Below are 16,480 nucleotides of genomic sequence, written 5' to 3'. Positions count from 1 at the left end.
GCCTCGTACTACCTGCCGATTGGGAAGCAGCCTCCCTGCCCACCCACCCTACCTCCAATGATAAAAGGACTTTGGGAGGCTTAAACTAAAGTATTATGGCTTTTCTCTAACTGCTCACTACCATCTTGGGGCGAAATTTACACTTCTATGTGAATGGCTCTATACTCCTTTATCCTTCCCTGGAGCCATTTCGTCCACCGGATTATGAGCCCTTGAATCAGGAAGCAAGATTTTACCTTTAATGTCCTAGAAAATCATTGTAAGATATGTCACAAGGATGAAACAAAGTCATCATTTTTTTTTAACCTGAGGCTTTGATAACCCTTTCAGTCAGATGCTTTTGCATAAAGCCTAATCCTGGGTGAATTTACTCTGCCAGGAGTTAATGCATTTAGCAACAAGGCATTATGGCAAATGCCACTGCCTGTCAGTTGCATGACTTCAGGATCATAAAGAACCCGCTGCTCCAAGTCTCCCTTATCTTTCCTCTTCTCCCCGAAGATTGGCACTTGCTTCTGTTTTATTCAATCCTTGGATAAAAGACCAGAGGATTGCTTCTGAATTTGAACTTCTGTGTGGAACTACATTAGCTTGGCAAGTCCTAAACATTCATTATTTTCCTTATCCAAAACCCAATGTAATTTGTATTCTGATTTCAGAGACACCGTTTTAGGTGACCTTTAAGATGCTCTCTTGAAATAAATGACATGCTAGACAGCCAATCTTCGTATATGCAGGACCACTGTTTGTCTTTTGATATATTCAGCAGTCTGCCTGCTAATGTTTATGCGCCTCCAGATAGTCTTATTATATGTCATCATTCTTATTATCATCAGCATTCCGATGCTTGTTTTCTTTACTTTATCTGTTAAGCAGAAGTATATTCAGTGTTCAAAGTGATACATCATAAAGGTAGAAAAAGGTGAACCCTTTGATATATGACAAGTCTTTAATAGCATGAAATAACTATTGCCTATTATTTTACTCCTGACATTTTTATTTTTAAGGGAATTTCACTTGATTTGTTGTGCTGACACCTTTGATATGTTGTTTCCAGTGACCTTACATCCAAAATCAGTAGCGTGTGACATTTGATGGCCCAGATAGAAAACATTAATGGTGAAAGAGAGGGTTTATTTTCCTGGTCATAAATTAAGTTTAAATAACTCTGAATTTATTTTAAACTCTCCAGTACTTTTTACTGTCCACGCAATAAATGTATTTATTACTGGGGCCTACCCAGGTTTCCTACTCAGAGCCTTTTGGCTTGGCTGCTTCGAATCTTTTTCTTCTTTCTCATGGAAAGCTCTCTTTGCCTGTAAATGCTGATTTGCACAAACTGTTTTCTAATTTCTATAAGCAGGGATCAGAGAAAGGGCTGCTTATCAGAGAGGTAAACCAAAATGCGTCTGTTGTCAATCAGGTTAAGAAAAGCAGGAGTTCATAAAATGTTCACTGAGGCAGGTAATCTAGTCCAGAATGGATGCAGACGTGGTTTAGGGCAAGTTGAGAAACAGGCACCAGCGGTCGTGGCCCAATCATTCTACAGCTCTGTGTGGAAGGTTTGCTTTACTTCCCGATTTAAATTTTCACAAAAGCGGAAACCCATTTCTCTATTTTTATCTTATGTGTGTATGTGTATGTGTTTATAGTTCCCATTCATGAGATGTATCATAAACTTGTATTGAGAATTTCTCAGCTTAAAAATTTTATGATTTAAAAAATTCTATGTATATGTTCGAAAATTGCCTTATATATGTTTTATTGCAATATAATTCACATATCATAAAATTTACCATTTTAAAGTGTGCAATTCAGTGGGTTTTGGTCTATTCACAAACTGTGCAACCTCACCATCATCTAATTCCAGAACATATTCCGTCACCCAGGAAGGACACCTCGTACTCATTAGCAGTTACCTCACACACCTCCCCTCCCCAGCCCCGACAACTGCTAATCTACTTTATAGCTCTATGTATTTGCCTATTCTGCACATTTCATATAAATGAACCATACAGTATGTGGCCTTTTGTAGCTGACTAATTTTATTTAGCATAATGTTTCTAATGTCCATCCGTGTCATAGCATGTGTCAGTACTTCATTCTTTTTTGTGGTTGAATAATATTCCATTGTATAGCTGTCCCGCATTTTGCTTAGCCATTCATTGGTTGAGAGATTTTTTATTTAAAATTTTTGTCTATATGTTCAAAAGTTGACTTATAGTTACTTCACTAGGCATTTCTCCTGTTTAGAATATTTTTAAAAGTTAGACCTTTAAAAATGAGATAAAATATATGTCATTTTTCTATCTGCAATAATAACCATCATGTATCTTTTATTAATTGTGTATAAATTTCTTACAGAGTTTTCCACAAAATGGGAGAAAAGTATAAGAAGCTCTTCCTGCTATGGGTAAGGTAGTGAAATTACAAGTCATTCACTAAATATAAATTCAAATGTAAAGATATATGTGATTCTTGAATATATGAAATGTGTTCAGATAGTCTTTCAAGGAGCCCAGCTGCCTGACCCCTATAAGGACCCCAGGACACTGTCCTCTGGAGTGGAGCTGTATTTGATGTGTGTTTATCCATCACTAGACTGTAAGTGACAGATAAATCTTACAACAGGGCTCATGTCTGCTTTATCTTCATTTTATCTCCAGAGCCCCAATACAATGCTTCGTACCTAGAAGGCTCTCAGAAACAGAAATCTGGTGAATTAGTTAAATTATATGCTTCTCTGCCCTCTGCCCTCCATAAGAAAAAAAGAAAAGACCTATAAAAGGCATTCTGAACACTGGAGTTTGGCTCCTGTTTACCATGTACATCTAGAGAAGTGTACAATTCGTGCTTGTATGAAATAATGAATGTTCACAAAGTGAGTATACTTCTGTAAGCACTGCCTAAATCAAAAGCAGCAATGTGACCAGCCCCCCGGCCACCCTTGGTGCTCTCCCAAGCACTCCTCCACCATCCTCTCCAACTGCAACCGCTATCCTGATTTCTAACACCCTAGGGGAGTTTTGCCTAGTTTTAAATTTTACATGAATGGAGTCTCATCATATGTATTACTTTTACACTCATAATATTTTCAAGATAAGGATAAAAAGCAAAATTTTGGTCTTATCACAAAGATATACCTGAGATACACGATCTTTAGATTCTAAATGACAAAGACTGAACTAATCTAAAGGACAAAAATGCAAACTGCATTTTCACTTCTGGCTAAACTGAATTTTTAAAAAATTTCTCTTATGCTTTCTTATGTTTTAATGATCATTCATGATATTGCTTAATTTCAGAGCATAGAAAATTGTGAAGTACAGTAGCAAAGACATGGAATCAACCTAAATGCCCATCAGTGGTTGACTAGATAAAGAAAATGTGGTACATATACACCATAGAGTACTATGCAGCCATAAAAAGGATGATATCATGTCCTTTGCAGGAACGTGGATGGAGCTGGAGGCCGTTATCCTTAGCAAACTAATGCAGGAACAGAAAACCAAATACTGCTTGTTCTCATTTGTAAGTGGGCACTAAAAGATGGGAACACATGGACACAAAGAGGGGAACAACACACACTGGGGCCTATCAGAGGGTGGAGAGTAGGAGGAGGGAGAGGATCAGAAAAAAATAACTAACAGGTACCAAGCTAACTACCTAGGTGACGAAATAATCTGTACGACAAACCCCCATGACACAAGTTTACCTATATAACAAACCTGAACATTTACCCCTGAACTTAAAATAAAAGTTAAATTTTTAAAAAAGTGTCAAGCAGACTAAGTTTATACCACCTCCTTCTATCTTGATCTTTTCTCTCTCTCTCTTTTTCTCTCAGGGACCCTTTCCTAGCCTTCTTCATAATTTATCCCAACATAATTCTTCCCAACTGATAATGAAAGTGTTCAATAACGATTAGTGACCACTTCCTTCTAGGGGACCTCTCAAGGTTTGCAAGGTCTTAAATCCTCAGGAGATATTGGGATTTGAGCTGGTGTGGCTGTGAGCCATGGTACCCGTGAGAACAGGAAGCTGAGAGGAATGAGTATCTTGAGTTCAAGCAAACCTTTTGACAAAGTCGCTCAGGTTATCCCTGAGGACTGGAGGAAGAGGTGTGTGGCTGGCAGAATAACAGCCTGATGCAGAGCTAGGAAGTAAAACTGATCCACCAGGTGACAGAATTATGATGCAAAAAGGTCTTGACAGTCTAAAATGATAGCCCCAAACTCACTGAATTTGATGGCGATAACCATAAGATTCAGTCATCAGGATAAATAACCAATGACACACCTACAGGCTGAAGGGGGCTGACATCCAGTCAGCTGTAAAAAAGAGTCCTGGGGATCTCAGGTGACTGTCAGGGGACTATGGGGTGGCTGCCAATAGGCTGCTTTAATCATAGACTTCTCCAAAACAAAAGTGGTCACTGTTCCCCTTTGTTTTGCCAGAGTCAGATGTATTTGGGCTATTTTATTTGGTTTTGAGCACCTCGTTTTAAAAAGAACATAGTAACAGTGGAGAAGGTTAAGGCAGGATGAAAAGGATGGTAAGTGATTGGGAAACCTCGCCATGTGAGGAGTGGTTGGGGGCCTGGGCCTTCTTAGTCACAGGTGTTCTATAGCCTCCACCCATCTGAAGGGAGGCAGGAGGCAGGAGGCAGCTGCTAACCGGTGCATGACCTTGGAAGGCATCTAATCTTTTGCAAGTTGTGAATGTGTGTTCACCAGATGATCACTAAGTTCACACCTGATCAAAAAGCTGTGAGTTTTGTAACCCATATAAACCAGAGACATATGTGGCTCAGTCTCAGAGCAGTGTCCCATTCAAACATAGTTTAACAGCCAGACTTAATTAAAAATCAATTTCACTAAGAAACTGATTTTTGTCAATGGTCACTGTATTTACCACACTCACTCTGATCCATTAACCCACCCTCCCCTTTGCTGCCTTATCCCTTCCAAAAGTCCCCAGAAGAGAACTAACGTTAGTCAAACACTCAATATGTGCCAGGTCACTTTTATACAGTGTCTCATTTCATTTTCATGGGAACCATGTCATATATACACATGTTTGTATATATATACATATATATATATATATGTATATAATTATTCGTATGCCCATCATTTGACCGAGGTCACAGCTGGTGAGTAGAGTTGGGGATTTGAAGCGAGGTTTGCCCTCTCAAGTGGCAGCCGCCTCCCAGAGCTTGCCTGGGTTTGCCTGCAGTTGCCTGTTCTGTGTGCTGTGAGCTGTGTATCTGACTCCATGCTTCCAGCCTGGCTTTTGATCTGTGGACACAGAACCAGGCCAACATTATGGGGCAGGATTTTTGTTTTTTCCCTAAGAAAACTTTTCTCTGCTCCCTGGTTTGCTCTTCCATGTTGAGAATCCTTATGTCAGTCCTTCTTGTACTCCCTGACATACACATTGGAGACTGAGCTGACCCAAGGAGAAGAGACTCCAAGTGACAATACTGTATTTCCTTTAGACTCACCAAGGCTGAATGCTTGCTCTTCCCCCAGCTCAGTTCGCTTGTCTTTTATGCACCTGGCTTTGCTCTCCAGTTTCCTTGATTTACAAAGACTGCTCCACAGCCAACCAGAGACACAAATGTTTTCAATAAATTGTACCATCATTAGATAAGGCACTGGGGTTCAGGGGTCAGGCCACTAGGCTCCAGGGTGTACTGGCCCAGGCCTATTCAGAAAACTCCATTTTTTGTTTATATGAGAAAAGAAGATTGACTCTCCACATTCAGGGTCTAGTTCAATGCCTGCCAACAAATGCTTATCAAATGAATGAGCGAATGAATGAATGCACAGTGGCACGCTCAGCACGGCTTTCAGTAACTCCCAAGTGTTGTGGGGAGCCTGGGGTGCTGCTGCTTCCTGCCTGCCTATGTCCTGGGCAGCTCACTGGAGTTCTGACCTCCAAAAGTCAAGTACATTTGTAGAATATGCACTCATTAAATCCTCTGGTTAATCAAATAATGTATTAATGAAGTAAAGTTTATCCCAAGGATTTATTTTAAAAAGGCAAAGAAAAAAGAAAGAAAAGAATAGAAAGAGGAAAGATTGATTCTACACACCAGAGCTCATCAGAGTCACAGTGAGGGCAACTTTGAAAGCCTTTTCACTCATCACATTGCAAGAAATCTGAAGAAGCGCATCCACTCTCCTCGCACCCATTTGCTCCAGAGTAGAAAAGACTTGCAAAGCAAGAACAGCAGTGGGGGGAAAAACAGGTAATGGGGCAAGAAAACACTACATAGCAAAAAGAAAAAGGCTATCCTATCTTTTAGCTTCTCATGGAAGAGGGAGGCTGGATCACTCCATCATGGCAGAGGACAAAGCTGCAGAGAGGAAAGCTGACCTTCTGCTGGTTGGTGCTGAATATAGAGCCAGGCACTGTGGCATTTTCCAATGGAGGGGGTCTCTACTGAGCAGGAATGCAACATCTCATTAGTATGGGGCGCTGCTAATGATCTGATAAGCTCTTTCATCCATTACTGATGGACGCCTTCCAGAAGACCTCTGCACACATAAGCCCTCAGCCAATTCTGTGAACCCCTTTTCCCTGGTCTTCATCATTAACCCCAACACCTTCACTGCCAGGAACTCCTGCTTTAGTACTGGCTACCCCATCCCCATGGTTCTGATTTTTTTCTTGGAGGTTTGGGAGGGTCAGGAGGCAAGGGGGAAAGAAGTTTGGTTATCTTTTGAGTTTTCAGCAGGAATGCCCAGCTGCTCGCAGCCAGTCATGGTGAGTGAATGACTGTGAACACCAGGACTACCCTCCACCCCAGTTCAGACCCCTTCCTAACACCAACTAATTGATTAACCAAGGGCTCTTGAAGAGAACGATTTGAGGAGGGTAATTTATAGAGATGCTGTCTTTTGTCATCATTTGTCTTTGAAAACATAGAAGAAAACTGCTTTCAAGAGGATGTAGCCCGCCAACATGAGCAATGGCGGGCGGAACATCATCAGTTACAGCAGACTGCTCGATTGTGTGCCTTTCTAGCCAGTCACATATCCAATAACCACAAAGGGAAGAAAAAAATGCATCCTCGCTCCCTGTGTCTTAAACTTTTCCAGCACTGGCTTATGAAAATATTTGGGGTTGTTCACTGCTCTGCTCTCTGTAGCATAAACATTTATTTAAATGGGGCTGTCTCTAGTAATGAAGAATGAAGGAAAAACAATGGTCTGATTTTGACAAATTAACTTGTGATTTGGAGAGTCAGTGAAGCAGGGAAGAGACATTCCTAACTATACTAATTAAATGAGCTTGCAACATTTATTTTAATGCAATGGAACCAGCCATATGAAGATGAACATTTTAATTTATTTTGCAGTGACATTATGAAAAATTTCGCTGCTGCAGATTATCTACAAAAACAAATCTCATCAGCATCTAGGTTTGTGCAGGAAATTTCCATCTTTCACATGAGCCTAACCTTCCCTGGTGGAAGCAAGTGCGAATGAAAAGTTACTTGGAAAGTTTTTCTGAAGGTTGTCTTTCCACTGAGGCTGGCTTCACGTTCAAATGACTTCTGCGCCAAACACATCCATTTTTCATGGTGCAGCATAGATGAAAAATTCCAAATCCATTCTATGGGGAATGCAAATATAGCTCATTAGTTCTAAAACATTTTTCATGAAAGACTGCAGAGTGTTTGCCGGCAGATGAGGCTGCATAGTTCCAGCCAAGAATGAACACCACATGTCCCGCTGATTGTTTTTTAAAGTTGTTCCTTTTTTTCCTCTGGCACCCAGTAGCTATTGAAAATAGGGAACAATATGAAAAATGGACTTGGAGCCTAGCTCATTTTGACACTATTCAGTACTTGTGTCTTCGGGGTTTGTTTTTGTTTTTCCTTTTTCTTCCTCTCTCAACTTGCAGCTCTAATCTAGAACGAAAGAGTGGTTTGCAGACCACTGACAATTTTTGCCTCTCCTAGAGACACATAGACGTGATTGACTCTGGAGGGTCAACCGTGGCCTGAGGCAGTGTCCCTGGAGCCTTGTCCTCAGGCTGCAGGCTCAGGTGGCCCCTGATGCAGCACCAGCAGACAAAACGGCCGCCTTCCAGAGAGAGTGAGAGGGCTGCTGGCTCCTGGCCACCGCCACAGCCCGCTTAGAAAGTCATGCAGTCCAGGGACGTCTTCCAGGCTGACATTCCCACTGGAGCTCTGCCAGGGCACTGCAGAGGACAGCAGACCACCTCCCTCGCCAGGCCAAGGAAGGAGCTGGGGAAAGGGAATGGACGGTGGCTCTGGGCAGGGCTTGGTGGGCAAAGCCTCTCTTGCTTAGGAGACCCCCAAACCCACCTATTGTTTTCCATCTGAGGCACCAGAGATGGTCTATCTGGACCACACTGCTCTGAGGAAACCATTTAGTGCCTCTGTGTGGGCCTCAGGCCTCTTCTTACCCAAGTCATCACACGTGGTTGTGACTGAAGCTGAGACGAGGCCACCCCTCCTTGTTTCTTGGCCAGTTCTCTTCGGTTGTGGACTCGGCACACCCCGGGGGAGCTCCAAATGGGGTCTGCATTACCCGCTGGGGCTGAGTTTTCCAGCCCCTGGTTCTTAGCGTGATAGGGGCCTCAATGTCCTGCTCCTCTGTGCTGGCATTGGAGCGTAGGGCACAGGGGCAGCTGAGAATGTGTGTCTCACCCCTGCGCATCCTCATCCCCGGCATTTGCAGGACAAGGGGCTGCTGTTCCGCAAACATGCATGGCCCACCAGATGAGGTAGGGTGAACTACCTACATGGGAAGGGCCTGTTTTCTCCACCCTGACCTGGGTAACCTCAATAGGTTCTGAAACACCCATGCCACCTGCAAGCTTTGGGCAGGCACCTGGCAGCTGTGGGGTCTCCTGGAGGTCCCAGCCCTGTCTCCATTCAGTCTGAGGAGAAGGGGGACTTGTCCTTTGGCGAGGATTGGTTGCTGCAATGTGTCAAGCTCTGTGGGAATGAGAGCAGGCTCCTAATGTGTGCCCACAGTCTTGTTTAGAAAAGCAACTGTCACTGCTGTTTCTTCAATACAGAACATTGCCTCCAGTTCAGCTCCTATCTGTCATCTGAGGAATGACTACTTTGCATGAAAAAGTCACTGTGCTCAAAAGAAGAAATGCATGTTTTCTTATGGCAGGGAAGTAAAATGAATTACAGACAAACCTATTGATAGGACCAATTATTCCCATCTCTTCCTTTTCTCTGCCACCTCCCAGCAAAAGCCAAATAAGCCAGGTAAGGATTCAGAAAATTATAAATCACAGGCTAAGAAGGGCTTATTCAGGGTTCTGTTGGGGCTAAGCCAAAAGTCCCATGGTGATGTCCTAGAGGGTCCTATGAGATGATAGAATTAGGTTTCCTGGAATGAGGGTGATAAAAAAAACATCTCAGAAACTGACCTTCTGCAGAGAATCTGCCACACCCTGCCCCTTCATCCCACCCCTTTTAGTAGCCCTTACTTTAGATCCCAGTCCAAGCCCAAGGCTGCCTGGCACACAGCAGACATTCAAGAAATGCTTGTGAAATGAACAAGCTAGAAAACAATCTTTTGAGAGGGAGGGGCAAGTATATCTTGGAGTGAAAGTGTGCCCTGGCAGTAGGGACCTCTACAGACTCCTAAACTCAGGATGTGTGGACTGCCCTCTCCTCCCCAAAGCCAACCTATCAGCCACTGGTTTCCAATCCTAAAGGCAGCACAGTGAGGTGGCCCAGGCAGGACTATGGAGCCTGTCTCTGAGTTTGAAACCCAGCTCTAACACTTGCTGCAAATTATATTTTCAAATTATATAAAAGAGATGCAAATTATGTTTTTGACACATTTTCAGCACAATTACCTTGTTTCCTTGGGCAAGTTATTCCCTGTGTCTCAGTTTTCTTGTCAGTAAAATGGTGGTGGCAATAATAGGACCTTTTCTAAAGTGTTGTTGTGGGAATTGAATAGGTTAGGTTACTTAATATAGGACAACCTCTATAGCCACAGTCATGACTATGCTGCAGGTCTCCAAATGGCCCACTGGGGAGATAAAAGATGGAACAAGACATCTCAAACACTCATGCAAGAGGAGGCTTGAACAGGAATCTTAAAGGTCCATTAGTTCAACTCTTTTGTTTTACAAATGTGGAGACTGAGGTCCTGAAATGGAAACTGACTTGTTCAAGGTGCCATAGCTAATGTCAGGGTGGGGACCCACCCCAGGAGTCCTCAGCTAGGATTTTGAAGCTTGCTGCAAAACCTACAGACACACTCAAGTTCCACCAAAGCAGGGCAGCATCACTGCTTGGCTGACAAACATGGAGCTCTGTACTTGGCACCCTTTGATGTTTCTGCTCAAGGGGAGTTTATAACACAGTTGGGAAGATAAAATTATGTGAATGCCACCCTCTATTGTATTAAATGACACAGTACAGCTTACATATAGTAAGCAAGAGGGAGACAGAATAAAGGGTGGATGGGCAGGCATCATCTTTACAAACTCCCAAGATAATGAGTTTCTAGAATGTGGCGGTAGCTGGCCCCAAACCTGCCTCTCCCTGGGAAGAGGTGCCCTCCCCAGGTTCCTCTGTAGTAACTCACAAATTCAATCTAAATTACAGCTTGTGTGGGTAGAGAGAAGATTACTGTTTTATTTGCCTGTGACTAAACTAGCCTTGCTCTTGAGCCCCCACCTGCAGAGGGGGCAAAATGAACTCACTTTTAATCCTGTTGACATTTAGTCCAGATGACCTAGTCCCTATAGGTGATGTCAAAACTCTCTTTGATAAAAATGTTCCATCTCTCAGTGACGTCATTTCTGCCACTTCTTCTTTCCCTCAGAGGGTGTTTGGATATGTAGAGGGAGGAACAAGTCTGACCAGGTCACTCTGTGCAGGGCAGATTGGGGATCCCCGGGCATGAGGTCCTTGATCTCCTCTGGCCTCCAGGGTGATGCCCATGTCCACCTGGGAGCTACTTGCTCTGTTGGCAATGGTTCCTGAAGCCTGTGGCTGGGGAACTCCTAGTCTGGTTCTTTCTGCTGCTGACCCCGCTGGCTACCGACTTAGTCTCACCTGGCCCTGACTCAGGGGTCCACTCTGCAGCCAGGTCATCCCTCTCACAGCACCTGCTCTGGTAAGCTTTTCCCCAGCCAGACTCTGAGCAGCTTCTAGGTCCTGTCTATGCCACATGGGCTCCAAGAGATGAATTGAAAGCAAAAGCTTAAGATGTCTGTCTTAGTCTGCTTGGGCTGCCATAACAAAATGCCATATACTGGGTGGCCTAAGCAACAGGAACCTTTTTTCTCACAGTACTGGAGGCTGGAAGTCCCAGATTAAGGTCTGACAGGGTTGGTTTCTGGCAAGGGCTCTTTTCCTGGCTTGCAGAAGGCCACCTTCTCGTTTTGTTCTCACAGGACCTTTCCTCAGTCAGTGTTTGTGTGGAGAGAGAGATCTTGCTCTTCTTCTTCTAAGGCCACCACTTCTCTTGGATTAAGGGCAAAGCCTTATGAATTCATTTAACTATTTCCTAAAAGCCCAGTCTTGAAATACAGTCACAATGGGGGTTAGGGCTTCAACGTACACATTTTTTGGCAGGGGAGGTCACACAATACAGTTTCTAGCAGTTTCTCTCTCCCTGACCACACTGTGAGACCAAGTTCCCAGGGGAAACCTAAAAGGAAATTTCTTTCTAGAGTTCAAAATAGGATAGAAAGGACAGTGGCCTCCCTTGGCCCTAGGTATTGTCTAGTTGAGGAAAAACGATAGGCGTGTGGCTTGTAGATGAGGAAAAGAAACTAAGATGACATTTCTAACAGCAAAGCAGAATACTTGAGACTTGAGAGACTTGAGTTTTAATCTTCTACTGATTTTCTGTGTGACCCTAAAGTGACATAATCTCCTCTTTGGCTTTATTCCTTCTTCACTAACTGGGGGGATGTTGACTTGCTTCCTAAGGTGGTTGAAAGCAACCATCAAGACATAATTGCAAGTCTTTTTATTAAACAAAGATACTGTTAGATGCTATAAATAAAAATAATGCAAAAGAATATACCTCCTCTCGAAATCTATGACATCCACAGAGTAAAGCATGAGGGCTGATAATCAAAATCTCAGTTCCCCGTAGTTTGCAGGATTGCTAAGAGGAAAATGAATCTTACCATCTAGGGGTTATGGAGAAGCTTCGAGAAATTTGCCTAACTGAAGAGAGATGGATTCTGTGAAATTCAGGACATCAGAGAAAACATTCTGCATAATCCTCCAGTGAGAGTTTGTCAAAGAGAAGGAAATCCTTCAGGACATTCTCTTTAATATACTTTTAATAAATGTTTTATTGTATTGGATTATGGGAATTAGGGGAACAAAGGATCTATACCATATTTTTCAAAAGCAATATTTTTAGAATCACAAATTATATTGAAATCTTTATACCAAGCAAATAAAAACAAAGATCAGAAGAACTAAACAGCATTTATACATGTCTCTACAGAGATATATATGCATATTAGCAAATTGAAATATAGCAAATACACAAAAAAACACCCACATAAAAGAGATGCAAATTATATTTTTGACACATTTTCAGCATGATCACCTAATACAATTTTCTTTTATAGGCAGAGGTAATAAATAGTGCAAATGTATATTTATAGTGTATTTGACAATGTATTTGCTTTGAGTCAGAGGGAAAAGCTCAAGTGATTTTACCGTTGAAATGCATCTCATCTACCTCAACTGAATGGCTGTTCTTTCTTCTGGATTTTTCACTGTGACTGGGACTGAGGTGGGAAGCACCTTTCAGTCTCAAAGCTAGGTACATACTTGGAATGACAATTTGGAGCTCACCTGAAACTCAGGATATCATTAGACTTGTGTGTGTTCCCATCTCATCTCCCCTTATGACTGCATGCTTCTTGAGAGTAAGAACAAAGCCTGCTACTTCTCTGCAAACCTTTCAGCCTCTGGGGCAGTGACTTGCATGTAGCAGGTGCATCAGCAGATGGGCTGGCTGTCATTCTGGGGCGTGGCCTGCAGGGAACCAGACATGTGCTGTGAGCTCCCAGCAGATGATCCACTTCCAAGTTTCTGAGGACTAGAGGACTAATTGACTCTTAATTCAAGATCTGAGAGTATTTCCATAGCTAAGGAAGCCAGTTAGGTTCATTCCTTGAAGTGGATCTATCTCTCCAGTGTGTCACATGGAGGTGCAGTGTTGCCAGGTTGGTTTGGTCAAAGGGGCAGGTTAAATCAGGAGAGGGTGGCGTGCTCTGCAAGCCCAGGTAGGTGAGAACTGAGCCCAGAGGCTCAACTCTGGCAAGGAAGGGATAGCTGGAAGGTAGGAGTAGCAAATGAGGGTTTGGAAGCTGTGTCCCTCCACTAGAGAGCCCCTGCCCCATCCCCGCCTGTGTGTGCAGAAGGCCCTGGATGTGGAGTGTTGCCAGGGGGAGCCTGTGGGTGATCCACCCTCAAAGGAGGGACAGGGAACCATCCCACAGGAGGAGAGGGAATGGGGAGCCCTGAAGATAGGAGGGAGACAGGGATGTGGAGAAGCCATCAGACCCAGCCTCCCTCCTCCCCACCAGAGCCCAGTGGTGTTCACCATAAGGACAGTTTCTGGAGCAAATCCTTGGATGCTGGTGGCTAACATAACAGAGACTCAGCTGGTGGGCAGCCCTTTCTTCTCAATACCATGAAGCCAGAGGGCTCCTGGAGACAGCAAGCCTGCCAAGCATCAAATGCACTCTGCAAAGGAACTGCAGGGAAATGAGAGACCATTACTCTATATGGTCCTCCCCCTATTTGCTTCTCTTTCTCAGTTCCCCACTCTGGTCAGGGGGCCTCATTAGGAAGGCTGGTGTTTCCTTCCTTTAAACGTGCACATCTCTCTTCAGGCCTGGAGAAAATGAGATCAAAACCATCCCCACCACGCTGCTGTGAACAGATATATTTAAATTTCTTTAAGCTCGGGTGACGTCCTCGGATGAGGAGCTCTAAGTACCAAGTTATTGTTATTACTATGTAGTTACTGCCTAGCATGCAGCGAATCACCCTGCCCTGCTGTGTAAAAGATGTATAGTGGGATGGGAAGTGTGGAGGAAGGAGCGGCATCGAGACTACAGAGGAAGCAGAGTGAAACGTACTAGAGAGAGAAGGGAACAGGGGGCGCCCAGTGCATGGGAGTCTCTACCAGGCCTGCTCTTATGTCTGGAAACAAGAAGGAGTTTCTTTCCACTAAGCAAACATAAAACATCGTGAAGACAGTGGGATTAAAGAGAAAGTACAGCATGGGGTTTAAGAACATGGATTTAAATCCCAACTCCAACCCTTATTAACTGCACGCCTGGGACAAGCTCATGAGCCTGTCTGGGCCTCAGTGTGTGTTACCTGCATATAGAAAATTCTAAGTAACTGTAGTGATTATTATTACTACTGTGATTACGCCTTGGTACAGTTGTCAGTGATCTGCAGAAGGACCCAGTACGTGATCAGAAGTATTGTTTCTAATTAGAATAGGATTTTCTGGAAGGGGTCACAAAGAAATCCAGGAGAAATGGGAACCCATAGACACTATGGAATCACTGAAAGGGGCCAAATGGACACTTCCTAGAATTGCCAAGGGGACCCCAGTGGGGAGTCTCAACTCAACTTAAAAACAGGCAGTCTTGCTAATGAACTCTGAGATTTCTTTGTGGAAGAAGAGCCAACATCGCATACTATTGATCAATAAGGAGTAAGACCAACAACCTACGTCTGTCTCTCCAACAAGAGGCCCTGAGACTACTTTGGAAGCTGCACATCGTATACCTGGTTCTTCTCCAAGACATTTAGGAGCAGAGGTGGGGCTGGGTGATCTTACTGAAACTTAACATTGCGTCTCTGCTGTAAGCATGCCACACAAGGCTGGGACAAGTGCTGTGGTTCTACAGTCATGTTACAAGCTTTGCAGGGCCTAGGAAGTCTACTATATGAACTACCAAACATGGAGCTGCTCACAGATAACCAATGCCAGAGGACATAAGCAACCATGGAAAGTTCAGTAAGAGAGAAATGCAGGACAGGAAGCAAGTTCAACTGGAATGTGGGTTTGGAGAGCCCTTTCAGCTTCAGCGGCCAGGGAACGCATGGCTCCTTTTTGCGGGATCATGAGGCAGCTCAACATAAGAATATCTGATGTGGAATCCAAATACACACCTCCTCCCCCCAGAACTCTACACTGTTTAGTGATGTGCATATGCTGTCAAACCAACGTTTAAAAACTATCAAGTCATAGTAAACAGTTACCTGATCCACAGATGGGTTGAGATTGTTAGATTGCTTCCCACCCAATTATTTGGAATGATCTGGTGATGTGGGGATGGGTAACTAAGAGGCCCCTTAGGAATGGAGCAATGTGAAGTAATTCAAAACAACAGGCTTCTCCCTAACACCCGCAGTTCTTGAGGGGCAGGAACTACTGGGCTATTGGATGGGGCAGTTGCCCTTCTTAGCTGTCACGCCACTTCTTACTGTTTTCCTTTCATTCATCTCTATCTTGGTCTATTCCTGGGATCACAGAATTTCGAGGGACAAATATAGTTAAGTAATTGTTAACTCGGGCATTGATTGAAAGGTGTCCTTTCCATCTTCCCTCTAAAAGCCTCAAGGATTATTTCTCAAACTCCTCTCTCCATTAAACTAATAAAACAAAACAAAGCCACTTTTATAAAATAATAATACTCAATGGAACAGGCTGTGAGATGCCAAGCAATTTAAATTCTAACAGTATATTTTAATGATGCTTTTCTATTACAGGGAAACAAGGCAACTCAGAGGACTGAGAGACTCAGGACTTCCAGACAGAGGATCAGGCGTACCTCATGCATGGGTGTTTTGGAAGAAGGCCATTTTGAAACCTACTCTGTATCATTACAGACTTTCAGTGAATTAATTTAGAATAAATCCACCTCCTTCCCTGTATGTGGTAGAATTTCACTGGGATACAACGTGAGGACAGAGATTTGAACCCTCAGTCCCACTTATGATGCGGGGCTTCAGGGGCACCACGGACATGCTCCGCATTCACCCATCTGTGGGGGAGGACTAAGGAAGCTGCGCTGGTGTGTGAGAAAGTAATGGGCTCTTTTAAGCCCTTTTACTTAAAGCAATAAAAGAATAACTGCGTCATCTGCTGGAGTAAAAGTTTTCAACAGATGACCGGCTTGGTTCTTAAAACACACACACACACACACACACACACACGAGGAGTGAACCACACAGCATGCAAATGAGAGGAACAAACGCTTTTGTTTGTTGGAGATTAATTTTTATGGAAAGTTGTACATTGCAGATTGCAATCAACCTGACACATTCTCTCCCTCCTGCTCCTTCTCTCAGTTGGCTTTGAGGAGAGGCACTTCCAAGTTTGAGAATTCATCTTGTCTGATTAATGATGTGTACACAGAGATTTCAGTCTCATCTTCCTTCTCTGGGTCCTTTTTA

At 43.5% G+C, this 16,480-nt stretch overlaps 1 long non-coding RNA gene across 1 annotated transcript in view; it reads left to right on the top strand.

The window, feature by feature from the left end:
• Positions 1–16,165, top strand: part of LOC101928077 (uncharacterized) — a 37,861-nt gene extending 21,696 nt beyond the window's left edge. The window contains exons 4-6 of the long non-coding RNA XR_007060264.1: positions 2,365–2,413; positions 2,667–3,531; positions 15,794–16,165. This is a non-coding gene — a long non-coding RNA (uncharacterized LOC101928077). The remainder of the gene's footprint in view (positions 1–2,364; positions 2,414–2,666; positions 3,532–15,793) is intronic.
• Positions 16,166–16,480: the final 315 nt, after the last annotated feature.

The sequence above is a fragment of the Homo sapiens genome, chromosome 7, assembly GCF_000001405.40.
Source record: "Homo sapiens chromosome 7, GRCh38.p14 Primary Assembly".
Lineage (NCBI taxonomy): Eukaryota > Metazoa > Chordata > Mammalia > Primates > Hominidae > Homo > Homo sapiens.
This window is presented reverse-complemented; position numbering and strand designations above follow the sequence as displayed.